Source organism: Homo sapiens, chromosome 14 (genome assembly GCF_000001405.40).
Source record: "Homo sapiens chromosome 14, GRCh38.p14 Primary Assembly".
Taxonomy (NCBI): Eukaryota; Metazoa; Chordata; class Mammalia; order Primates; family Hominidae; genus Homo; species Homo sapiens.
In genome coordinates, this window is record NC_000014.9 from 77,522,523 (window position 1) to 77,549,918 (window position 27,396).

Sequence of the window (27,396 nt, forward strand, 5' to 3'; positions counted from 1 at the left end):
CTTTAATCCTATTTTGCTCATCTTCCCTAAAACACAAATAGATTAAAACACACGTTTCTGTCTGCAATTGCCAACTGACTAAATATTTGGGCAGGTTTTGACATTATGGTAAGTCAATCTTTGAAAAGATATCCAAACAACTGTTCTGTTATACAGAGCAAAGCAATAAATTTAAAAGATCTGCTTGGAAAGGGCTAAGAACTGTTTTAGAATCTTCTCAACCATGAATACTCATGAATAGAAAAGGCTGCAGTAATTTTCATATATAGATTATAAAATCAGCAAGTTCATATTTTTAAAAGTCCAAGCATGATACATGACATAAGTTCTTATGACAAATTAACCAGACATACAGATAGCTAACAATGTCCTTAGAATCAGAATACTAACATATCCATCATTCATGGGAAGCTACTCTATATAAGTTGGCCACAAATAAGTCAAAATTAATACTCTTTATGTAGATAATTTCAAGTTGATCACAGAAAAACACTCAAGCTTAGATTAGCCTAGTGTGAGCACTGAAGAGCATCATTTATGTCATCGCTTAAGTTACAAAGAAGAAAGCAGACATTAAAGTGTGTTATATTTAAGTATGTTGGGAACTGATGAGCCAAGTCCCCTAACTTCCCCCTAGAAGTATCAATACATGCTTAATTTACATTTAGAAGATGAGACTTCTTCTGGCCATGGAGTACTAGAGGCTGGATTTATCTTCCTGCTGTAAACAATAGGAAACTGGACAAAGTACATAAACAATGACTTTTAGACATTGAACCACGGGGAATGCCAGACTGTGCTGCCTGAAGGCAGGTTGCAGGCTGCTGCACAGGGAAGGAGGGCCCAGTCTTGCCAGCTGAGGACATCTGAGATTGGAGTGGAGAGTGGTCAGTTGAGATCAGAGCTGGGGAGGCTGCGGGGGCTAGAATTTGTTGGGCAGTGTACAGGAGCAGGGAGGTGGGGTGCGATGAGAGAGCTTTAGAGATCTGCTGAAGGGTCCCTTTGAACTTTGGGAAGGGTACTGATTTCTATACGCATGAAAAGAAACTAGCAGAGGCTGGGGAAAAGATCCATCAGAAAGCAATAGGCCAAACAATTCCTGCACTCACATGGAGCTGGGAATAGTTTGTATTTTTGTCCACCAAAATATAAAGATCTTATAATATGTGGGTTATCTAACAGAGTCCTCAGAAGGGGACTCTACTCCTATCACCTTAGTAGTGGAGATAAATGAACCCTAGACTAAAAATTGGTCTGAACCCACCCTAACCTTAAAAGCAAGCTTTGAAAGGATCCTACTGATTCCAAGAACAAAGTCCAACATTACCTAAAGGAAAACAACAAGATATAGAAACTAGCAATGTAAAATTAATGTCCAACATATAATTTTAAAATTCCAGGCATTCAAAGAAACAGGAAAATATGACGTACAACCAGGGGAAAAGTCAGTCAATAAAAACCGACCAAAAATAACGGAGTATTAGCAGATATGGATGTTAAAGGCCATTATAAATATGATCTATATGTTCAAAAAGGTAGAAGAAACATGAGGAGAGAAAGGAAATATATGAAAAGGAACAAATGATTGCTAAGGCAACAATGCTGATGAATCTCAAAATATAATGTTCATTGAAATAAGCCAGACATGAGACTGCACACTGTATGAATTCGTTTGTATGAAACTCTAAAAAGACATACTGTAATGACAGAAAACAGATTCATGGTTGCCAGAAAGTATGGGAAGGCGGCTGATAGCAAAGGGGCAGAAGGGAACTTCCAGGAGGGACGATGAAAATATTCTAACCTTGATTGTGGCATGGGATTACAGGAGTGAGCCACCATGCTGCCCAGCCACCACCTTTAAAAAAAAATCACAAACCTTTTAGCTATCTAATCACAAATTAACTAGCCTCTGTTAAAAAAAAAAAAAAAAGTTTTTTCAAACTAAAAATGGAACTACCATACAATCCAGCAATCCCACTACTGCTGTTTATCCAAATAAAAGGAAATCAGTGTATCAAAGGGATGTGTGCACAGCTATGTTTACTACAGCACTATTCACAAGAGCCAAATACGGAATCATTCTAAGTATCAGCGGATGAATGGATAAAGAAAATGTGGCAGATGCACACAACGGAATACTATCCAGCCATGAAAAGAATGAAATGCTGTCATTTGCACAAGATGGATGGGACTGAAGGTCATGATGTTAAGTGAAATGAGCCAGGCACGGAAAGACACGTATCGCATGTTCTGACTCATGTGGGAGCTAAAAAAGTTGATCTCATGGAGGTAGAGAGTAGAACAGTGGTTACCAGAGGCTGGGAATGGTAGGGAAAGGGGGATTGAAGAGAGGTTGGTTAATGGGTACAAACATATAGTTAGATAGGAGGAATAAATTATAGCTTTTGATAGCACAGGATGACTACAGTTAACAATAGTTTACCGTGTATTTCAAAATAGCTAGAAGAGCTGAAATGTTCTAAACACACAGAAATGATAATGTTTGCGGTGACACATATCCAAAATACTCTGATTTGATCAGAATATTTGATACCGTATGCATCTATCAAAATATCATATGTACCCCATAAATATTATGTATCAATTTTTAAAAAAAGGAAAGCCAGGCACAGTGGTGTGATTCTGGCTACTTGGGGGGCTGAGGCAGGAGGATCTCTTGAGTCAGGAGTTTGGGGCTGTAGTGAGCTATGACTGCACCTGTAAACAGCCACTGCACTCCAGCCTGGGTAACATAGTGTGAGACTCTGTCACTTACGAAAAATGAGCCAGGCACGGTGGCTCACGCCTGTAATCCCAGCACTTTGGGAGGCCCAGACAGGCGGACCACCTGAGGTTGGGAGTTTGAGAGTAGCCTGACCAAATGGAGAAATCCCATCTCTACCAAAAATACAAAATTAGCCAGGTGTGGTGGTGCATGCCTGTAATCCCAGCTACTCAGGAGGCTGAGGCAGGAGAATTGCTTGAACCTGGGAGGTAGAGGTTGCCGTGAGCGAGACTGCGCCATTGCACTCTGCCCTGGGCAATAAGAGTGAAACTCCGTCTCGAAAAAAAAAAAGAAAAATTAAAAAAATTTAAAAAGGAGGGCTGGGCATGGTGGCTCACGCCTGTAATCCCAGCACTTTGGGAGGCTGAAGCGGGCGGATCACAAGGTCAGGAGATCGAGACCATCCTGGCTAACACGGTGAAACCCCGTCTCTACTAAAAATGCAAAAACAAAATTAGCCGGGCGTGGTGGTGGGCGCCTGTAGTCCCAGCTACCTGGGAGGCTGAGGCGAGAGAATGGCATGAACCCAGGAGGCGGAGCTTGCAGTGAGCCGAGATTATGCCATTGCACTCCAGCCTGGGTGACAGAGACTCCATCTCAAATAAATAAATAAATATATAAAAATAAAGTGGCCTGTTATCCTTTAAAATTGCTAGGCTGAACCATCAAACTGCCAACATGCTACCATTTTTGACCTTAAAGCAGGAAATTTCTTATGGTTTAACTTACTAATTTCAAAGAGAATAACAGGAAAATAAAAGCAGTAAAATAAATGTAGACAAATCAGTAAGCCCTGGCATTTACACGTTAGAAAATAGTTATCCTTTGCTCTTAAAGTGAAACTGAATCTTAACAGACAACATAGTTACCCACTTTGACTTGAGTATCATATAAAATAGCAGTTAATATTTATGCAAGAAGACCAATTGCTATTTAACGCCAGTGTAGTAGCTCAGTCCCAAGGATTTTTCACTGCAGAGTTTCAGCAAGTATCTGGTCTAATACAGACTTGAAACAAAGAAGAAAGTTTAGCACTGTTTAAAAAAATACTGCTCTTAAGAAGTTTTTATCTTTGGCTCCGAAAGAACACAGATGGAAATATAAAGAGGTCAGAATTCTTTCCTACTTTTCAAACATAAATCTTTACTTTTAAGGGTGATAAAAAGCATAAAAGCAATTTGGAGGAGAAAAATCTGTACTGACTCTTGAATTTTACAAATAAACTTAACTGTGTGGCTGTCCTTTTGGACTTCAATATGGTTTGTTAGAATAAAACTATTTTTAGGAACTCTACTGTAAAAAAATCTACAGCTTGGCATGGAAGAGACAGAGAAAAGTAAATATGTAGTTAATTTCTTGGAAAATGTAGATAACTTTAACAGGTCATTTTTAGTCTTCAACCTCTTTACAATAAATCTTATTCTCAGGAAGGAAGGAATAGATATAAAAGATCAATATGCTGTAACAGCATCATTAGATTATTTAGTTCTTTTTTTTTTTTTGAGACAGAGTCTCACTCTGTTGCCCAGGCTGGAGTGCAGTGGCGTGCTCCTGGCTCACTGCAAGCTCCGCCTCCTGGGTTCACGCCATTCTCCTGCCTCAGACTCCCGAGTAGCTGGGACTGCAGCAACCCGCCACAACACCCGGCTAATTTTTTGTATTTTTAGTAGAGATGGGGTTTCACCATGTTAGGCAGGATGATGTCGATCTCCTGACCTCATGATCCACCTGCCTCGGCCTCCCAAAGTGCTGGGATTACAGGCGTGAGCCACTGCGCCCGGCCTCTTTTTTTTTTTTTTTAATTGAGATGGAGTGTCACTCTGTTGCCCAGGCTGCAGTGCAGTGGTGCGATCTCAGCTCACTGCAATCTCTGCCTCTCAGGCTCAAGCGATTCTCCTGCCTCAGCTTCCTGAGTAGCTGGGATTACAGGCAAGTGCCACCATGCCTGGCTAATTTTTTGTATTTTTAGTAGAGACAGGGCTTCACTTTGTTGGCCAGGCTGGTCTAAAACTCCTGACCCTCAACTGATCCATCGCACCAGGCCTAGATTTAGTTCTCTTAAGGAACTAGAAGGCCTTGAAAAGGATGGAGGGTAGAGGTTGAAGGAGCGCCACAATTATCTACCTACTGATAACCACTAGATATTGATAACCTTCAATCACGTTTACAAAACAGAATTAGATTTAGGGAACTACATTAATCACTGCCAAACAGATTTAAGGTGTACCAATTGCTTTTCAGTCATTTTTAAAAGGAATATTTTATCAAGTCTTAATCCAAATTTCTCAAGATTCTCAGCCATGCATGTAATCTTAAGGTTAGAAGGAACTACTATATTATTACTGAAATAAACTCCATAAGCCCTCCTAGATAGGTGTGACTTAGAACAGACAGTGTTCTATAAATTTTCTGAACGCTCAAGACTGCTTTTTTTTTTGTTTTTTTGAAAGCCAGGAAAAGATCCATGTAATAAAGTAAGGAATATAAAGGCAGCAGACATTTTTGTCTTAAACTAGTACTATTTAGCATTATACTTCAAAGAATAGAGCATGCACTCAGCTGCTTCAGTAGTAATATGATTTCCAGTTTAGCTGATGAGCTTTTATACAACTTATACCATAACCAACAAAAACATGTTTGAGCCTGCAGCTTCAAAAATAACATTTCTGTTGTTAACTGAAATCTTTCAAAATAAAGGACACAAATATTAAGGATGTTCAGCCAGAGTTGATCTCCTAACTCATATTATACTTCATTACACAGCTCCTAATCTTCTTAGATTTCCTGAATATGCTGATATATAATCTGTCTTCCTGGGGAAAATAAAATAAAATTACTGCTACTCCTCCAACTTATACTTTCCAATTAATTACAGTGCACTGAAAGAATTTGAAATTGAAGAACTTCCCCACCCCTCTTTTCCTCTTCTTTTTTTTTTGAGATGGAGTTTCACTCTTGTTGCCCAGGCAGGAGTGCAATGGCGCGATCTCGGCTCATAGCAACCTCCGCCTCCCGGGTTCAGGCAATTCTCCTGACTCAGCCTCCCGAGTAGCTGGGATTACAGGCATGTGCCACCATGCCTGGCTAATTTCGTATTTTTAGTAGAGACGGGGTTTCTCCATGTTGATCAGGCTGGTCTCGAACTCCTGACCTCAGGGGATCTGCCCGCCTCGGCCTCCCAAAGTGCTGGGATTACAGGCATGAGGCACTGCGCCCAGCCCCCCCTTTTCTTCTTAAAGGTTATATTCTCAAAGCAGGTAAAAGTTTTCTATATCAGCTCAGGGTCCCTCAAATAGATAGCTCCAAGAATGGTTTCAGTTAGTTTTCAGCATTAACTAGGAATTAATTGACATAAAGCAGGATAAAATATGGAAAAATACTACCCATCATCTAGCTCTAATATATACTATAATAGCAAATTGTGGTTATTTCATATCTCTTTCATTTAACAATTTTTTATAAGAATTGAAGCTAACTGTCAATCTTTTACTTTAATCATCTGTTTCAAAGGTCTTATTTTTGTTATTTTTTGTTTGTTTTTTGAGACAGAGTCTCACTCTTGTCGCCCAGGCTGGTATGCAATGGTGCAATCTTGGCTCGTTGCAACCTCTGCCTCCCAGGTTCAAGAGATTCTCCTGCCTCAGCCTTCTGAGTAGCTGAGCTTACAGGCGCCCGCCACCATGCCTGGTTAATTTTTTTGTATTTTTAGTAGAGACAGGGTTTCACCATGTTGGCCAGGCTGGTCTTGAACGTCTGACCTCAAGTGATCCACCCACCTCAGCCTCCCAAAATGCTGGGATTACAGGCGTGAGTCACTGTGCCCAGCCTTATTTTTATTATTTGGAAGTACACCTTTTCTCATATTTTACTTTGGTTGGATTATACTATAGAGAGAGAAAGAACACATTTCATTCCTGTGAAGTTTCTCTTTGAAAACTTCTTCTTTTTTTTTTTTTTTTTTTTTTAACAAATATGCCTTTTCTAGGACAGTTTAAACCAGGACATGACAAAGTATGTTCTCCACTGATAGAAATAAACTTACATACCCTTGATGTTTACTTTGCCTGCGTTGTGTGTCTCTATTGAAATCTAAAACTGGAACTTATATCTTAAAGACCTCTTACACAAGTGTTTATAACATCAGATAAGTCAAAGCAAACTACGTTTTCAAAGGCTATTACCAAAGTAATTATGGAAGCTCTCAGTACTGACTCCCTTTAAGCAAAGTGAGTAAAGAAAATAGCACAGTGCTAGGCCCAATTAATGTTTGCTTTTTTTCACTTTTTCTAGGAAAGCAATTTCTTTCTTTCTTTTTTTTTTTTTTTTTTTTTTGAGACAGAGTCATTCTGTCGCCCAGGCTGGAGTGCAGTGGTGCAATCTTGGCCTACTGCAACCTCCACCTCCTGGATTCAAGAGATTCTCGTGCCTCAGCCTCCCAAGTAGCTGGGATTACAGATGTGCGCCACCATGCCTGGCTCATTTTTGTATTTTCAGTAGAGATGGGACTTCACCATGTTGGCCAGGCTGGTCTCAAACTCCTGGGCTAATGTGATCCACCTGCCTGGCCCAGTAAAGCAATTTCTAAGCAGGGGAATATTACATTTTGCTTTGGTTACTACATCTCTAAATATTACCAAGTCAACTGCTAGCCTGCCTTATCTCCTGATAAGACAGTACTTTATAGTCTATCATAAACAAATGAAAGAATATGTTGATTTATATTAATTTAAATTAAGAATTCTCTTGCATTTATGGTGCTACAGCTAACTCCACATGTTAGAACAACAGCTTAATCTCATCTCAGCTGAAGGTATCTTGGACTTATGTGGAGGAGGAGATAGGAGTGACTATTGTTATTACATCATTTCCAAGAACTCCAAATAGTGTGCATAGTAGAAAATCTCAGATGAAATCAGGTAATGCTTTCAAAAAAAGATAAGCAAACCTGGGTTAAAAACATTTCAAATTTCCATCATGCTCAACATTTAAACCACAGGATCTTTTTTAAAAAAAAAAAATATTTATTTATTTATTTTGAGATGGAGTCTTGCTCTGTTGCCCAGGCTGGAGTGCAGCGGCACGATCTCAGCTCACTACAACCTCCACCTCCTAGGTTCAAGCGATTCTCGTGCCTCAGCCTCCTGAGTAGCTGGGATTACAGGTGCCCGCCACCAGACTTAGCTAATTTTTGTATTTTTAGTAGAGACAGGGTTTCACCACGTTGGCCAGGCTCGTCTCAAACTCCTGACCTCAAGTGATCCACCAGGCCTAAACCACAAGATCTTTCAATACACCATATAAGTAACTTCTGAGAGGAAGAACAGACTTAGTAGGCTTTCCCACCTCTCCCTTTTAGAAGCAAGGCATATTTAAGAGTTATGTTACAGCTAAGAAACTAAACTGATGCCCAGTGAGGTTACATATCTTAAAATAGAGAAACCAAGACTTGACTCCCTGGTTCTTCTGGTTTCAAAGACTGGACTTTGAATGACTCAATGATGTATTCTAGCTCCTGTATTGCTAGGATTGACTAAAAGGGAATGTTAAGTATTTAACGTAGGAATTTAGAAGAGGAATAAGTGAGTAACTTTGTTGCATTACAAATAATCAACAATGCACGTTGGCCCACCCTGTTGAGACTCATCTACCTACTGTGAATTCTTCCCTAACACCGCCTCCGCCACATCACACTGCTTCTCCTTCAGTCTACTACATCATGCAGAATCCCAGGGAAAGAGGTGGTGCCCACAGATTTCCTTCCATCCTGCATTCTCCTTTCCCATTTTAATCTAGGATTTCTGCCATCCTGCATCTTCCAAAGAGGGCACCCTGCAAAATTTCAGTCAACCATTTCCAGAGTTTCTCAGTAAGATTGTTGTTGGCATTTTGGGCAAAACAGTTCTTCATTGTTTAGGCTGTTTAGTGCCTTGCACAACATTGAGCATCACTGGCCTCTGGGCTGTGCATGCCAACAGTGCCACAGCAACCTAGTCTGTGACCAAAAATACCTCTAGACTATTCCATATGCTTCTCAGGAAGATGGTACTCTTCCTGGTTGACTGTTCTCTACCATAAGCCCTGAAAGTTATTTCTTCACAGGGACCATGACTTTCTTCTTCTTCTTCTTCTTCTTCTCCTCCTTCTCCTCCTCCTCCTCCTCCTCCCCCTCCCCCTCCTCCTCCTCCTCCTCCTCCTCCTCTTCTTCTTCTTCTTCTTTTTTGTGATGGAGTTTTGCTTTTGTTGCCCAGGCTGGAGTGCAATGGCACAATCTCGGTCCACCGCAACCTCCACCTCCCAGGTTTAAACGATTCTCCTCCCTCAGCCTCCTGAGTAGCTGGGATTAAGGCAAGTGCCACCATGCCCGGCTAATTTTGTATTTTTAGTAGAGACAGGGTTTCTCCATGTTGGTCAGGCTGGTCTTGAACTCCCAACCTCAGGTGATCTGCTGGCCTTGGCCTCCCAAAGTGCTGGGATTACAGGCGTGAGCCACTGCACCCAGCCTGGAATGTTTTATACTGCAATCTGGGTGGTGATTAGATGAGTATATTTATGAAAACTGTATGTCTAAGATCTGTACACTTCATTGTATGAATGTCAATACTTCAATAAGAATAAAAATAAAATTTAAAATACTTGGAAAATCACCCAAAGTTAAACAAAAATGGAATTGAGGTTAAATTTCTCATCTCTCTATTGATGATTTTAAATACAGCCAACTATTATTTAATAATACCCCTTTTACTTAAAAACAACAACAACAACAAAACAGAACCATCTAAATATTACAGGTGTGGGCTCAGGAACTCTCCTCTTAACCTTTGGTTTTAAGACAAATCTGGAAAAATACTGAAATTTTTGGTGCTGCATATTCCGGGAATTTGTATTGTAAGATGGGGTAAGTGTTAGGAAAACAGCACTTCAAACTTAAATGTCCTGAGGCAAGAAATGAAAGCTGGCCTTCCCTTCTTTCCCTTTCTCTCTTTAAATGCTCACGTGAATGAATACACAGAATAGAAAATCCTGGTAATAAAAATATTCGTTTTTTATCTGTGCATTTGCTTTAATTCTCATGAAGACATTTTCCCTAGATATTTTACTATTAGGTTTTTCTTCTGCATACCCTGCCAAGATGGGGAGGCTGATGGACGGCTGGCACAAAAAATTAGTAACTTAATATAAAAATCTGATTCTGGGCTGGGCGCGGTGGCTCACACCTGTAAACCCAGCACTTTGGGAGGCCGAGGCAGGTGGATCACGAGGTCAGGAGATGGAGACCATCCTGGCTAACACAGTGAAAGCCCATCTCTGCTAAAAATACAAAAAATTAGCTGGGTGTGGTGGCAGGCGCCTGTAGTCCCAGCTACTCGGGAGGCTGAGGCAGGAGAATGGTGTGAACCCAGGAGGCGGAGCTTGCAGTGAGCCGAGATAGTGCCACTGCACTCCAGCCTGGGCAACAGAGCAAGACTCTGTCTCAAAAAATAAAAATAAAAATAAAAATAAATAAATAAATAAAATAAAAAATCTGATTCTGACTGCTTTTTTTGGAGGGCTATGGGACACTACAATTGAAATTATGAGGATACAATGGAGTACAAAATTATTCAGCAAAGAAAAAGTTAAAATGACACCACCATAGTAGCAAAGCATGAACAAATGCTTCATGTTAACAGAAAAGGTCAGTTTCAGATTAAAAAATTTAAATGTCAGCTGGGCACAGTGGCTCACGCCTGTAATCCCAGCACTTTGGGAGGCCAAGGTGGGCAGATCACCTGCGGTTCGGAGTTTGAGACCAGCTTGACCAACATGGTGAAACCCTGTCTCTACTAAAAAAATACAAAAATTAGCTGGGCGTGGTGGTGCACGCCTGGAGTTCCAGCTACTTGGGAGGCTGAGTCAGAAGAATTGCTTGAACCCAGGAGGCAGAGGTTGCAGTGAGCCAAGACTGTGCCATTGCACTCTAGCATGGGTGACAAGAGCGAAACTCCGTTGCAAAAAAAAAAAAAAAAAAAAGTAACTGTCTCTGGGTGAGTATAATAGCAATGTATAACAAAGTCCTCCTAAAACAGTTTTTGTAGAAATAATATGCTCTCTAGGATGACTGGAATCTGAAATTCTGAAAAGCAAATACGGTAATATTGACAAAGTAATAATTTCTCAGGACCTAACACCTTTACCAAATTAGAATGTTTTGACTTCATTTTAAAAGGGGCGAAGCTGAGCAGGGAGTGTACACGCAAGCAGTTAGTTTCGGGAAGGCTGGACTTGTACCAGGGCTTACGATGTTCCAGAGCTAAATAAACCTTAGGTAAACAGACCCTTCTTTACGTGTGCAAGCACGTCCTTTAACAGTAAGAACTGCTGGGATTCCTGACTCCATTTATTCAGGAAATTTCCAAAAGTAATTTTTACTTCTTTCAAGAAAGGGGAAGTAGGTTGGGCAAATGAACGTTTAGATTCGATAGCAAAAGTAACAAAAAATATTCCTAAGTCTCTGGGGTTTGCTGGTGCCAACTGAATTTTGAATTCCTGTTATAACCTCTACTTCTTTCTTTTAGAATAAATATGGGCTGGGCGCAGTGGCTCATGCCTGTAATCCCAGCACTCTTGGGAGGCCGAGGCGGGAGGATCCCTTGAGCTCAGGAGTTCAAGACCAGCCTGGGCAACATGGCAAAACCCCGTCTTTACAAAAAATACAAAAATTACCAGGTGTGGTGACGCACGCCTGTGGTCCCAACTACTTGGGAGGCTGAGGTGGGAGGACTGCTTGAGCCTGGGTGGTAGAGGTTGCAGTGAGCTGAGAGCATGCCGCCGCACTACAGCCTGGACAACAGAATGAGACCCTGTCTCTCTCTCTTTCTCTCTCTCTCTCACACACACACACACACACACACACACACACACACACACACAAATGCATATCTATAAAAAGTCTCAAAGGGAACATGTAAATTTGTTCCACTTCATATTATTTACTCCATATAAATAATAGGTTTCATCAAATTCAATATTACCAATTTTTTAAAAGTGCTCATTTTGAGAAACATGACAAATTCATATTGATAAATTCACCAAATAAGTGTTAAAAGAAACTGTATACATACAGCGGTTGTGGATATGTTTCAGGATTTCTGAAAGAAACTTAAACACTAAAGAAGTCAAATTAGGAGGCTACTAACATTTCTGAAGCCTCAGGGCAGTCTAACTTTATGATATAAAAAATTTTTAACACAGAAATCTGGTATATAAAATTAAATAATAAACATTTCACATATTTCAGTACACACACACACACACATATGCTAAACATAGAAGAAATAGAAATTGATTTCACCAAAGGCAAAATAAAAAAAAATTGATTTCACCAAAGGCAAAAAGAAGACTACACAAAAAGGGGAGAACATATTGTGCACTAGGGAAGCAGATGTCATTAAAAAAACATATGCTGAGCACTCATGATGCACCAGATATTGCTCTAGACCCTGGACATTCTGCAGCAAATGAAACAGACAAAACTCCTGCCTTTATGCAGCTTACATTCCAGTGTGGGAGATGGACAACAAACAAAATTAATACTCACTAAAGAAGTGTTTCAGGAAAGACCTGATGCAGCCAAGTGCTATTTCTTTTTTTTTTTGAGATGGAGTTTCGCTCTTGTTGCCCAGGCGGAGTGCAATGGCGCCATCTTGGCTCACTGCAACCCTCCGCCTCCCGGGTTCAAGCGATTCTCCTGCCTCAGCCTCCCGAGTAGCTGGGATTACAGGCATGCGCCACCACACCTGGCTAATCTTGTATTTTCAGTAGAGACAGGGTTTCTCCATGTTGGTCAGGCTGGTCTCGAACTCCCAATCTTAGGTGATCTGCCCGCCTCGGCCTTCCAAAGTGCTAGGATTACAGCTGTGAGCCACCACACCCAGCCCCAAGTGCTATTTCTATAAACTGCCAAGACCCGGAGCAAAAAGCACACCCAGCATATGCAAGAAATATGGAACAGCGAGTGAGGGGAAGAGTGGGATAGAGGAAGTCAACAGACAGATAGATCCCAAGGGCCCACAGGTCTTCACTGACTTTAGGCGGGATGAGAAGGCCTTTGGGGAGGGTTCTTAAACAGAAGATAGATATGATCTCCCATCAGGATCACACTGAGAGCTATCTATATTTAGAATAGATGCAAAGAGGGAAGCAGAGACACCACAGGAGGGAAGATGGTGACTTGGATGAACACAGTAGCAAGTGGTAGAAAGTGGACTGAGGATACATTTAGAAGGCAGACAGAAGTGTTACAAACAAGGTATGAAACAAATATTTAATGAATGAATGAATCCTGCATATGAGGTATGAGACCAACATGGACCAGACTGCTTAGAAAAGGGGTCGTGGACTCATAAAATTTTACTGGAACTCTCTGTACGGATATCTACAATTCCTGATGTTCAGCATTGCTTATTTAATTCTTCCAAAGCATTTTTGCTTGACTGATTCCTCTACTATTATGACTGGCTGGCTATTAAAACCAGGTGAAAGTGGACAGAAATCTAAGTCAAGTAAATAACAATGAGATATGGAGAAGTAGACAGGTTCAAAGATATTAAGGAAGCATGATCCATAGGCACTGGTGACTAAATACAGGGGATAAAGGAGAGAAACGATGATAGGTATTTCTTGTTTGGACAACTTCATGAATAGTGATGCCATTACCTGAGATAGGAAACACAAAAGAAAAAGTTGGTTTGAGGGGAAACCAGCAAAAAGGCTAAAAACTGTGGAGACACAACTCAATTTTGGTGGAGCAAGTATTTCTAGAGCCTAGATTTTGAAATGCAGTAGGTCAAGACTACTGCTTCCAAACTTGAACTAGAATATTAAAAATTATTTTCTGAGATGATGAAAAGGTTCTATAAATGGATAGTGGTGATGGTTGCACAGCACTGGATGTATGTAATGCCACTGAATTGTACCGAAAAATGATTAATTTTGTTATATATATTTACCACAATAAAAAAGTTTTAAATTTATTATAGGTGACACTGTTTGCTCACTGTAGGTCAGGTATTTTTTGGTTTTTTTTTTCTCTTTATTTTATTTTTGACCAATGGATTCACGTCACCAGGTGATTTTTTAAACAGCTTTATTGAGATATATATCACGTGCCATAAAATTCACCCATTTAAAGCACACAGTTAAATGTTTTTTAGTATAGAGTTCTGCACCTCTTATGACAATAAATGTTAGAATATTTTCATCACTCAAAAAGAAACCAGTATCCATTAGCAATACCCCTTTTCATCCTAGTCCTTCCAGCCTATAGGCCGAGTTTAAGCAAAACTTTTGTGGGAGGTGGGTCAAGTAATATAATTTATTCCAAAGCCACACTTTTCTATGTAAACAAAAGACAAGTGATAACTTTTAAAAAGAAGAAAAAAAAACCTCTCTTAGAGCTCTATTTCTTTTTCTACCATTAGATCAGTGGTAAAGATAAAATACTACTAGTAAAAACTCCTATGGACAATTTTCTGCAGTTTAGGTGAAAATCATGCAAATCAGTAAATACAAGCAATTTGTAAATTTTAATTTTGTTTTTGTTATTTTCTACCAATGTCTATGTATTCCCCCACCCCCCCACTTCTTTTTTTGAGATGAAGTCTCGCTCTGTTGCCCAGACTGGAGTGCAATGGTGCAATCTTGGCTTACTGCAACCTCCGCCTCCCAGGTTCAAGCAATTCTCCTGCCTCAGCCTCCTGAATAGCTGGGACTACAGGCACCTGCCACCACACCCAGCTAATTTTTGGAATTTTAGTAGAGATGGGGTTTCACCATCTTGGCAAGGCTGATGAACTCCTGACCTCGTGATCTACCCGCCTCTGCCTCACAAAGTGCTAGGATTACAGACGTGAGCCACTGCACCTGGCCTATGTACTTCTTATCTTTAAAAACCCCAAAGAAACCAAAGAACACTATGAAAGATAAAGGGCAGAAGTTAAAAAAAAAAAAAAGTTATGGAAAGATTCCCTATGGCACATTTTAAGACATGTCTCTACTTTGTAATTCATTAATTTGCTCTTGTTTATAAGTTCCTGTTACTGTACTTATGCCGTTTATGTGTGGTCTCGTGTTGCCAGAACAAACTGCAAACTCTGAGGACAAATACTGTTATATTTTTTTCCCTAGTAACTCCCCCAAGAACACTGAGCAGATAAGCCAAGTTGAAATACGCTGGGAAAATGAAAACACGTTATGTATTCGAACTAATTTAAATTACAAAGCAAAATTACCTATATAGTCAATTACATTAAGGCAAACAATCATCTAATACATTAATAAATATCTAGTACACAAAAAGCATTCTGGAACTGGATCCATGAGTTCAAACTGGCTCCAACACTAGTAACTATGTGTCCTTGGGTAAGCAACTTAACCTCTTTGTTTCCTTAACCTCTCAGCTTCCCCCTTTTGTAAAAGAGGGAAAATAATGTCTAACATTTAATACTTGTTCTGAGAATTTAATGAAAAGCAGTTAGAACAGTGCTAACTACATGGTAAGCAGACAATAAACGGCCACTGTTATTTCACTTGTTCATGTATTCTTCTCTTAAAATCATGCTGTTCCTATCTTCCATACAACATGTTCCGACCCTTCGGCTTAGCCTTAACTTTGAAAAATGAAATGAACGACTATCTTACTTCCCTTGTTGTTTCCAATTCTCCATTTTCTATTTCCTGTGCACACTCTTATTAATTTTAACACATAACACAAGGACACAGCTGATTTTACTAACATATAATCACTTCATTCTCTAATGCTCTGATTTATAGTTTATAAACAAGCTTCATATATTTTACCCTCTACGATGCTATGAACTTTCCAAAGCTTTTGAGGTTTTCCTTTATTCTCCAATTTAGAGTACCTCTACCATCACATCACCCAGTAATTATCATCCAGGTGAGGCAAATTACCTTTGCAAATCTGAGTGTTCAAGATGGCAAGCAGACACCGTCCTTTTCTGAAAACTACCACTCATGCACACCCCATCATAATGGGGATGGGATCCTGTCTCTACCTGAGCTAATTTTATTCTCACATCTAATAATCTAGAATAGGCACAGAGATATGCTTGCATGGAGGACATTTTAAACTTGAAATAATAAGACAGTCATTTTGGATGTCATACATCAAAGCAGTAATGCAGGTCTCAGAAAGAAAGAGAGAACTAATAATTTCACCATCTTCCTGAATTTCACTTATTAGTAGTTTTAATTTGGTTCTATATAAACTTTTTTTTTGAGACAGAGTCTTGCTCTGTTGCCCAGGCTGGAGTGCAGTGGCTTGATCTTGGCTCAATGCTACCTCTGCCTCCCGGGTTCAAACTATTCTTGTGCCTCAGCCTCCCAAGTAGCTGGGATTACAGGCATGCGTCACCACATCTGGCTAATTTTTGTATTTTTAGTAGAGATGGGGTTTCGCCATGTTGCTCAGGCTGGTCTCAAACTCCTGACCTCAGGTGATCCACCTGCCTCAGCCTCCCAAAGTGCTGGGATTGCAGGCATGAGCCACTATCCCCAGCCTGTGGTATATAAACTTCTGAAGTCAGACTATCTACGTTTGTATCCTGGCTTGAGCATCTAGTAGCTGTATGGCTACAGCCAAGTCACTTAACCTCTGAGTTTGGTTTCTTCATCTGCAAAATGGGAATGGCAATGGGGATGATGATGATGATGATAACTACCTACTAGATAAGGCTGTTTTAAGAAAATGGGATACTCCATTAAAGCACTTAATGAAATGCTTAAACAAACGGTCTTTAAAAACTTATTTTATATTTACATATGTAAGATCATTTATATTATTTTCTATTTTTGTTATTTTACCTATAACAAGACCTATAATATTTTAAGGCCTATTCTTCTATCATCAAATTGGGAAAAAACAGAAACAAATGGGCATATATCCTTTTTATCTTCTAGGGAGATATTAAAGACCTTGAGGAAAAAGAGAAAAGGCAAGCCAACAGGAGACAGTTATTTTCTAACTCTAAGGCCCACTCAGACACCAAAAAGAGAAAAAATTAATTAAAAAAAGAAGGATCTAAGTGGTATTAAGAAATAATTGTAATCTAACACTAAGAAACTGTTGTTTATTCTGAGAATTCAAAAAAATGAAAATTTTATCTTAAGAGGCTTTTTTTTTTTTTTTTTTTTTTTGGAGATGGGGTCTCGTTGTGTCGCCCAGCCTGGAGTACAGTGGTGTGATCTCGGTTCATTGCAACCTCTGGCTCCTGGGCTCAAGTGATCCTCCTGCCACAGCCTCTCAAGTAGCTGGGATTACAGGTGCCTGCCACCAAGTCTGGCTAATTTTTATATTTTTAATAGAGATGGGGTTTTGTCATGTTGGCCAGGCTGGTCTCAAACTCCTAACCTCAAGTGATCTGCCAGTCTTGGCCTTCCAAAGTGCTGGCATTACAGGCGTGAGCCACTGTGCCCAGCCGCTTAAGAGGCTTTTGAAGCTATATGTTATTTTTTTGTAGCTGGCACGTGGTTAAGTAGTCAAAAACAGATTGCTGACTGAATAAACTTCTTATTGTGGCTTGAACTAATAAAAAAACACAATTAAGCCAGGCAAGGTGGCTCATGCCTATAATCCCAGCACTTTGGGAGGCCGAGGCAGGCAGATCACCTGGGGTCGGGAGTTCTAGACCAGCCTGACCAACATGAAGAAACCCTGTCTCTACTAAAAATACAAAATGAGCCAGGTGTGGTGACACATGCCTATAATCCCAGCTACTCGGGAAGCTGAGGCAGGAGAATCGCTCGAACCTGGGAGGCGGAGGTTGCGGTAAGCAGAGGTTGTGCCATTGTACTCCAGCCTGCCAGCATGGGCAACAAGAGCGAAACTCTTGTCTCAAAAAAAAAAAAAAAAAAAAAAGTAATAAGAAGGTCCTCTGGATATGTTTTGAAGATCAGACAGCAATAAAGGAATAATATGCCTTAAAAGGCCTGAAACATACAAAAAAAATGTAATGGACAGAGTTCTTATCTGCTAATAAATTTAACACCACATTCTCAATTAGCTGTGCATATGCAGGAAGAGGAAGGCACAGCAGCCCAGATCATCAAGAAATGGTCTCCATTTGATTTTGAAATGCATTTTATTTATTTTTACTTTTATTTTTTAATTTTTTAAATTTTTTGAGACGGAGTCTTGCTCAGTTGCCCAGGCTGGAGTGCAGTGGTGTGATCTTGGCTTACTGCAACCTCTGCTTCCTGGGTTCAAGTGATTCTCTTGCCTCAGCCTCCCGAGTAGCTGGGACTACAGACGGCCGCCACCACACCTGGCTAATTTTTGTATTTTTAGTAGAGATGGGGTTTCGCTATGTTGTCCAGGCTGGTCTCGAACTCCTGACCTCAAGCGATCACCCACCTTAGACTCCCAAAGTGCTGGGATTACAGGCGTGAGCCACCGCACCCAGCACATTTTATTATTTTAAAGGTAGATCTCTCTCATTGCTAACATTTAATTATGGCATAAGTCCATATATACCAGTTCCACTGAGGGGAAATGAGTGATATAATGCATGTTTAGTTGCAGAAGTAGTTTAGAACTACAAATATGCCATATATAATCTGTTCACAGAACCAAAAATATGTGTAACATGTAAAATCTAAGAATAAGGCAAAGTGTAACTGTACTCAGAAGGTATGCTTGCAAAACATTTTATTTATTTATTTATTTATTTATTTATTTATTTTGAGTCAGGGACTCACTCTGTCACCCAGGCTGGAGTGGTGTGATCTCAGCTCACTGCAATCTCCGCCTGCCAGGCTCAAGTGATCCTCCTGTCTCAGCACCTCAAGTAGCTGGGACTATAGGCATAAGCCACCATGCCTGGGTAATTTTTGTATTTTATTTTATTTTTTTGTAGAGACAGGGTTTCACCATGTTGCCCAAGCTGGTCTTGAACTCCTGGGCTCAAGTGATCCACCCGTCTTGGCCTCCCAAAATGGTAGGATTACAGGTTTAAGCCACCAGGCCCGGCCTACAAAATTTAAATATAAATAACAAACTAATTCTTACCAAAAGCAGCACATTCATCTATCAAGAGTAACCTCTTCCTAGCAATGCCTTATGATGGCCTACTTTCATTTAAATTACTATTTTGAACTTAGAAATGCAAGGACTCTGTGCACACAGACTGGATGATCTGGATATACACCCATTTAGAAGCGGGGGGTCCATGTGGAAATGTGTTCTAACAGTAGGTCATCAAATTTTCTTTTTTAAAAAAGAAGCAGTCTTTCCTTTGCTCATCTTTTAAAATGATCAATGGTCACTTTCTTTGAACAGCTCTAAAGTGGGGGGAGAAGGCAGCAGATAACACTTTAAACTCTTGTCACACTTTCCAGATCAGTAAATTATATACTCATCACAAGCATCTAGATGGGATGCATCATGAATATATCTAAGAATATCTAGGCCAGGTGCAGTGGCTCAAGACTGTAATCCCAGTGCTTTGGGAGGCCAAGGCGGGTGGATCACCTGAGGTCAGGAGTTCCACACCAGCCTGGCCAACATGGAGAAACCCCGTCTCTACTAAAAATACAAAGAGTAGCCAGGCATAGTGGCACGCGCCTGTAGTCCCAGCTACTCAGGAGGCTGAGGCATGAGAATGGTTTGAACCTGGGAAGCGGAGGTTGCAGTGAGCCAAGATTGTGCCACTGCACTCCAGCCTGGGCAACAGAGTGAGACAGACTCTGTGTCCGGAAAAAAAAAAAAAAACCAAGAAAAACCCACAAAGAATATCTGAAAGTACCAAGTGAAAAGTGAAGAAGGAAGTAGGGTGAGAGGGAGAGTAGAGCATGTAAAGAAAAAAAAAGTCAGTGAAGATATTTTTAAAAACCAGAGTATACTGGTATTTGAATTTATTTCTTTTGTGTTTTTTTTCACATTATCTCACAGAAAGATAAAGAATCTTATCTAAAAGCTCAAAATGAAAATAAAAGAAATATTAGCTAACAGGACAGATTGATTTTAACAACATGTTTCCCGTAAGTCCTAACTAAATGGCACTGGAAAATCTTTCTGTTAAGAAAAGGAAAATAAATGGACCTTCAACAGGCTCTTTATAAGCAAAGGCATTTTCGTGCCCCAGAGAACAGTCTTGTAAAAGGGAGATTTATAAGGGACTTCCAGGAAGCAAGAGTTCAGTAATTTTCTAACACTGAAGCAAAGCAACGGGAACTAGGTTTACCATCTCCAAGACACAACCCCTATTTTGCTAGACTGGCGACAAATATCAAAGTGCTCAGCCGGGGCCACTGTCAAGCTAAAGAACATCAAAGCAGACAGATCTGCGTCTTCATATCCTAGGGATGCTGTTCTAAAGCAGCCCCTTGGTTTCCTATCTCCCTGTAAGAACTAGAACTGCTTTTGCTAACACCAAGTACTGCACAGTAAATTCCTCTTAAAAGCACAGTTTATCACCCCCACCCTCTTGTGGCTTAATCCTTTAATTCATTTCAATGCCAAAAACTAGGATTTCCTGAGGACTGCCACAGGATGTATGACAAGCAGCAGGGGCAAGCTTAAAGTTGCTGATTCAATATAATCAGAAGTTTAAAAGAATGGTTGCTAATGCACAGCCAGAAACAGAGGGCCCTCCACAAAAGGCAGAAAAGAGGCCAAGTGCCTGTGAAAAATCAAGGAACTGAGTTTTAACGGGTGCCAACCCACAGGCAGGACAGAAAGTCTTTTGTTTGTTTGTTTTTGAGACCAAGTCTCACTCTGTTGCCTGAGCTGGAGTGCAGTGGCACGATCTCAGCTCACTGCAACCTCCACCTCCCGGGTTCCAGTGATTTTCCTGCCTCAGCCGCCTGAGTAGCTGGGACTACAGGCGTGCACCACCACACCCGGCTAATTTTTGTATTTTTAGTAGAGACACGGTTTCACTACTATGTTGGCCAGGCTGGTCTCCAACTCTTGATCTCGAGTGATCCGCCCACCTTGGCCTCAGAAAGTCTTAATGGACCATTCTACTGTCCTCTGTTGGGGCTGGAACATATCACAGGCTACTCTGAGACAAAGAGATAAGGAACGTAAACACTGTAGTAATGTATCTACCCACAGATGAAGACAGCTAGCAAATAAAGGTAATCTCTGGTAAAGGCTTGGCTTGGATTTAAGTTAACAGTTTTAGAGGTAGAAGGCAATACAATAAGACAATCAGAGTTTTACAAAACGGTTAATACTAAACATTTTAACAACTTTATAGTGGGCAAGGCCATTTGTAGGTTATGTACTAAGTAATTTGAGGATTAATAGGTTATAAAAATACAAGCAGCCCCCCCCAAAAAAAGTAAAACAAAAATAATTAATTCCAACTAGCCTTAGGAACCATGACCACAGATCTCTGAATGCTTAGTTCTGTTTTCCTGCTGCACCTAACTGGTTTCTAACTTCTCCACCTATGCCACTGATTCAATCAGCCAGAATCATCAGCTGTTCAGAAGGGAGTGTCAGCATCCCAGGCATTTAGAGTTCCAGAAACAACCAAAAATGGCAACTTAGCTCTGCCAGCAAATGCCTGTCTTACAAGCCAAACATCTCCCTCATTTGTATCTTGACTTCCAGTTTCTTTTCCTTTTTCAATTACCATCAATCAGTAGAGCTGCTTTGGTACTGAGGTAAAAAAGTTAAAAGGAAAAAAAGAGGATTGTCAAAAAGACAATCCTCTTTTTTATTTTCTAGAGATAGGGTTTCCCTCTCTCATCCAAGCTGGAATGCAGTGGTGTGATCATAGCTGGGTTTGTGCAATCCTCCGCCTTGGCCTCCCAAGTAGCTAGGATTACAGACGTGTACCACCACACTTGGCTAATTTTTAGAATTTTTTGTAGAGACAGAGGCTCACACTATGTCACCCAGACTGGTCTCAAACTCCTGACCTCAAGTGATCCTCCAGCTTCAGCCTCCCAAAATGTTACGATTACATCCCAAAATGTCAGGATTACCATATCCAGCCTAAGGTTTTCTTTTCAATGCATATTCTAGGGCCTCATCCACCAAGACTCAGTAGGGTGGGTGGAACAAACTAGAATCTTCATTTTTAACAAGCAGCAGTGGTTCTGAAATGGGGCCTTACATGAGAAGCATCTGGGGTGCTTTTAAATAACACCATGCCATGGCAGGGAGGCCTCGCCTTGAGATACTCAATGGGTCTACAGAAGGTCTCTAACACTGGCACTATTTTTTTAAGCTTTCCTGTGTGTAAGCAAGGTATGAACCACTGTACTAAAAGTACCTCTGATGCAGGTGGTCCATGGACAAAGTCTGAGAACAGGGGCTTAAAGAGTTCATGTTAATGAGGTCATTCTGAACCTGACAAAGACTCTCTCCTTTGACCAAACTTGAGTCAGGCTCCTCTTGGAGTCCTTTCTGATAAAGTCCTGACGTTGCGCCTCCTTCTCCATTCTTGCAGAATCCAGTTTGAGCAATAATCCTGCTAAGTCAGATTAGAGAAAATCCCCTACATGACTACCCCTGGTATCTTATCACCCTGGCCTACCTTCAACAAGAATGCTGAAGGCAAGCATCCCCCTTACCCCTGATGTTTCCTCTTAGTATTTTTCTATCTACTCACTCCCACCCTGTTCCTTGGCTGTAAATCCTCATCTGTCCTTATTGGAGTCAGACTGCAGCCCACCCTCTCTCCCCCACTGGAAGACCCCATTGCAGTCATCCCTATGCTTATTACCATGGCCCCCTTGAAGGAAGTCTGTCTTATCATGTTTCACAAGTGACAGGAATAATTTTTTCTTTAACACCTCACTCTACTGCCAAAGTAGATAGCAGGGAGGTAGATACAAATAAAATATTTAGATAATTAGAAAAACTATAGGTGACAATTAAAAAAAAATCAATTCCTTTTTGGAAAGCTTTCAAATCCGGCAAGCTCTTAGTAGGGTATCGGGCACTTTTTTTTTTTTTGAGATGGGAGTTTCACTCTTGTCTCCCAGGCTGCAGTGCAATGGCGTGATCTCGGCTCCCTGCAATCTCCACCTCCCAGGTTCAAGCCATTCTCCTCCATCAGCCTCCCAAGTAGCTGGGATTGCAGGCATGCGCCACCATGCCTGGCTAAATTTTTTTGTATTTCAGTAGAGACAGGGTTTCGCCATGTTGGTCAGGCTGGTCTCAAACTCCTGACCTCAGGTGATCCACCCGCCTCAGCTTCCCAAAGTGCTGGGATTACAGGCGTGAGCCATCGTGCCCGGCCGGGTATCAGGTTCTTACTTTGAGCAGATTCCATCTATCAGGTCACTGGTTTATACATATTAAGTATCTGCTATAAAGTTGGGGAACAGCTAGGATCAAGTCTATTTGATGAAAAATAAAGCCCTCAGACATAATTCTGGGGGGAGAAAAGCAATTCCAATTATGTGAAGGTTTAGAAAGTTAGAATTATTCTTCAACAAACAATAGACACTGGGCATCCTAATTGCTAGCTTCAAACTAACTCTGAAACGAGGCACAAAAGGAGAGAATGTTCTTGTTGCAAGAAACTTTTAATAGCATTTGGATTTGGAAGAAAAAGATAGCAGTGGAATAAAAAATAGACACACCATGTTGCAAAAGCTCTTGAGTATTCAGAATCCATTTCTGAAGCAGAAAGGTGGGGAAAGGGCTACTGATCCATGGAGAGAAAACAGGGAGGCAAATGCCCAAAAGAGCTTTCATTTGTTGGGCTGATTACTCACAATTAAACTTTGGAAAATTAGCAGAAAATTAGAAACAGATTATAAAATAGTCTGTTTTAATAAAATGCTAACTATCATCATGCAACCTCAGAAGTAGAAGCAGATGGAGTTAGAAAAGCTACATTCTAGTTGGAGACAAGATATTGAGAAAACTTGTTCCATACATGAGCTCAAATTTCTCCACCTGTAAGGTGGTCATATTGCTTGCTGATTTCAGAAGGCTTAAGCCATTGGTTAAAAGGCCTTTTGTGCTCAATAATCAAGAAGCTGCTTTAAAAAATAATCAAGAAGCTGCTTTGATTGCTGATAATTTACTAGAGTGACAGTATCCACAGAAAAATTTCATTTATATAGAAAGTTATTATATAAGAAATCTAAAATATGAGTTTGCTTCAAAAACTTAGCTGGTTTAAGGAAGTTTAAGGTTTTAGGGGAGTGGGAGTGAGTGAAGGAGGAGGTTGTAGAAGAGAATGGAGGAGGAAATTGAGAAAAGACAAGCTGAACAAAGGAAGAATTTATCTGTGCCTCTGAGACTAGTTCTTCCCGGGAATCTTACCCCTACCACTGGACTGTTTTTTCAAAGGCAAAGATCACCTATTGTTCAACTCTGCATCTCCCACACAGCATATCTACCACTATGTAGAGAGTAGTTGCTTGTTGCTTGATAAGTGTTTAACAAATGGTAAAACACTTTTTTTTTTTGGAGATGGAGTTTCGCTCTTGTTGCCCAGGTTGGAGTGTAATGGCGCGATCTCAGCTCACCGCAACCTCCTGTGTTCAAGCAATTCTCCTGCCTCAGCCTCCCAAGTAGCTGAGATTACAGGCATGCGCCACCACGCCCAGCTAATTTTCGTATTTTTATTAGAGACAGGGCTTCTCCATGTTGGTCAGGCTAGTCTTGAATTCCCGACCTCAGGTGATCCGCCTGCCTTGGCCTCCCAAAGTGCTGGGATTACAGGCATGCGCCACCACACCCAGCTAATTTTCATATTTTTATTAGAGACAGGGTTTCTCCATGTTGGTCAGACTGGTCTTGAATTCCCGACCTCAGGTGATCCGCCTGCCTCGGCCTCCCAAAGTGCTGGGATTACAGGTGTGAGCCATCGCACCCGGCGGAAACAAGTATTTTTTTTTTTTTTTCCAAACAACAGCATTCTAGGCAGAAAGTCACAAAACAGGAGGAAGCGAGTCTGATTCCCAGCATCAGATAAACTGCTAAACTCTACTGTGGGTAAGAACAAAACTGTGCTTACCAGAAAACTTAATTTTTATTTCGATGAATTTCTAATAGTGAAATAAATTACTTTAAAGCACAACAAAGAAGAAAGTCAACACCCAAACGTTCTTGGGCTCAGGAAGTATGGTGCTTGACGGGAGGGTTAAAAGCTGTCAGCCCTGAAGACAGGCAGGAAAGTCTCTCTTTATGACCCCCTCCCAGCAAGGCTGTGTTTTTTCAACACTTCTAACCCTTCTGCATGGGAATCTTGGAATGTTTTTTTGTTTTGTTTTGTTTTAAAGAGACAAGGTCTCGCTATGTTGCCCAGGCTGGAGTGCAGTGGCTATTCACAGGCGTAATCCCACTACTGATCAGCAGGGGAAGTTTTAACCTGTTCGTTTCCAACCTGGGCCAATTCACCCCTCCTTAGGCAACCTGGTGGTCCCCTACTTCTGGGAGGTCATCATACTGATGGCTGAACTTGGTGCAGACACGTCTCTGGCACAGTGTGCTACAGCCCAGGACTCTTGGGCTCAAGCGATCCTCGTGCCTCAGCCTCCTGAGTAGCTGGGACTCCAGGCATGTGCCACTGCATTGTCCTGGAATGTCTTTTTTTTTTTTTTTTTTTTTTTTTTTAAGTGTCTCAGTTCTCTTAGTTTTTGACAGTTCCCCGGTATTCTCAAGGTGATCATTTAACACCTAATTAACAAGTCTATTACTGGAATTAATTCAAATGAGCCAAACCTAGTTTTAATTAAACCTCAATCTGCTCAGGGTAGTCTTTTTTCTCCTACATCAGTAGCTGCCTGCAAGGACCCAGTTCCTTTCAAAACAAAGAAGTACAAAACTCTATAAAGCGTTCTGACATTATTTAAAAATGTATCTATTAAAATGTACCTATCTAGTTAATTTGGTTCCATAATTTGGTCATTCTGGCTTAACATTCAACTATTCAAGCAATGTTACAATAAAGTACTTGAAGAACCCACTGATTTTCTGGTATTGCCAATCATGCGTGCATTCATTCAGTCATTCAATAAATTTACTGAAAGGATCCTAGATGTCACACACTAAGCTGGGTGCTATGCATGTTATTATTAACTACACCTTTGGACAGAAATAAAATACATCAAAGCACAGCTCTGGAAAATGGAAAAGCAAAATTTTAGTTGATTTGGTCAAACACTTTGCCTTGATTCGTATGTAGATACTACAGCTAAATTTCCATTAGTGGACACGGATTAGTGATGTGTAAAGTAAAAGTTAGAATTTCAAATGTCTAGTGGAATTTAACAGAATTTCCTAGGCCTCATTTTTTCTACTCCCTGGCCTGTGCTCAGTATTCCCACTCCAGGTACAGGCATCCTGGCAGCACAATTCCCATTCATTATTATCTCACCTGAGATCCTAGTGAAGTTGCCTTTCAAGATCTGTCAACCTAGTCATATGTCCTGTTCTTCCTTGGGAAAAGGATAGAAACTGGAGGGGAAATGCGGAAAAAGTTGGGAGGAAGGGGAAAGGAGCGCTCACAAAGTCGTGTGGAAACTGGATCTCACCTTCCCTTACATGCTGCAGCTTTTCTGAAGGCTCTGTACTCTCACCAAAGAGCAACATTTCTTCACACAAAAAGATGAAAACATTTAACAATAAGCAACCACATATACATGTTTAAGCCTTACTTTCAATACCAGGTACTTAATGTACTCTGGAATCCAACAATAACAAAGTTTTAATGATAAATGTAATATATTCACTGACATGGTTTGGATGTTTGTCCATCTCAGGATGGAATGTGATCCCCAATGACGGAGGTAGGGCCTGGTGGGAGGTGTGTGGATCATGGGGAGGATCCTCGTGAATGGCTTGCTGCCATCCTTGGGTAATGAGTGAGTTCTCGCTCTGAGTTCTCCCAAGATCTGGTTGTTTAAAAAAGCATGGTACTTCTCCTTGAGACTGCATCTCAAAAAAAAAAAAACCAGCCACAAATTCTTTGACATGCCTCCACTGGGGAGGTGGAATCTAGTTCCCCACCCCTTCAATCCGGGATGGCCTTAGTGACCTGCTTGTTAACAACAGGTCAGAAAAGGTCATGGGGTTTCCGCCAGGTTCTTTGGAATGCTTGCTCTCTGAAGCATCCTTTCTGGGTACACAGTCACGATGTCATGAGGAGCCTAAGCCACATTGAAAAGATACATGCATGAAGGTGCTCTGGTCAACAGCCTCAGCTGAGCCTGGCTCCAAGTCACTCCAGCCCAGGTGACATGTGAGTGGAAAAGCTTCCAGATGATCCCAACCACCAACCATCTCAGTCTTTCCAGACACTTGAGTCTTCCAGGCCAGCCCCAGACAACAGAGCAAAGACAAGTCATCCCTGCTGTGCCCTGACCGAATTCTTGACCTGTGGCATCTGTGAGCATAATCAGATGGCTGTTGTGTCACATCACTAAGCTTTGGGGGTGGCTAGAGGCAAAAACTAGAAAACTTGTGCTGATCCAAAGCCTATATATAATTACCATGTTTCATTTTCTCACTACTAGCACAGCCCAGATTTCATCATTTAGTACAGATAAGTCATTTATCTGGGGGTAATGTGTCACACAGATCCATGTTCTGGAACAGGGCAAATAAATTATCCAATGTTAACTTTGATAGC

At 40.8% G+C, this 27,396-nt stretch overlaps 1 protein-coding gene and 1 pseudogene across 2 annotated transcripts in view, besides 1 other annotated feature; both read right to left on the reverse strand.

Annotated features, from left to right (window-relative positions):
- SPTLC2 (serine palmitoyltransferase long chain base subunit 2) overlaps positions 1-27,396 on the reverse strand; it is a 110,641-nt gene that overhangs the window by 16,526 nt on the left and 66,719 nt on the right. The window contains exon 10 of one of the 2 annotated variants that reach the window (XM_011537384.3): positions 13,078-13,483. The exons of the other annotated variant lie outside the window; for it this stretch is intronic. Coding sequence (XP_011535686.1) covers positions 13,374-13,483 — 110 coding nt within the window. The 3' untranslated portion in view covers positions 13,078-13,373. Of the gene's footprint in view, positions 1-13,077; positions 13,484-27,396 lie in introns of those variants that run through there. 2 annotated transcript variants of the gene reach the window in all.
- Positions 20,032-20,533: an enhancer, noted in NCBI's record as "H3K27ac hESC enhancer chr14:78008897-78009398 (GRCh37/hg19 assembly coordinates)". NCBI's record gives its function as "activates a minimal SCP1, AML or CMV promoter by ChIP-STARR-seq in primed H9 embryonic stem cells {active_cell/tissue: H9 hESC(primed)}" and the evidence as "EXISTENCE:reporter gene assay evidence [ECO:0000049][PMID:30033119]".
- RN7SL587P (RNA, 7SL, cytoplasmic 587, pseudogene) lies at positions 25,044-25,336 on the reverse strand (annotated as a pseudogene).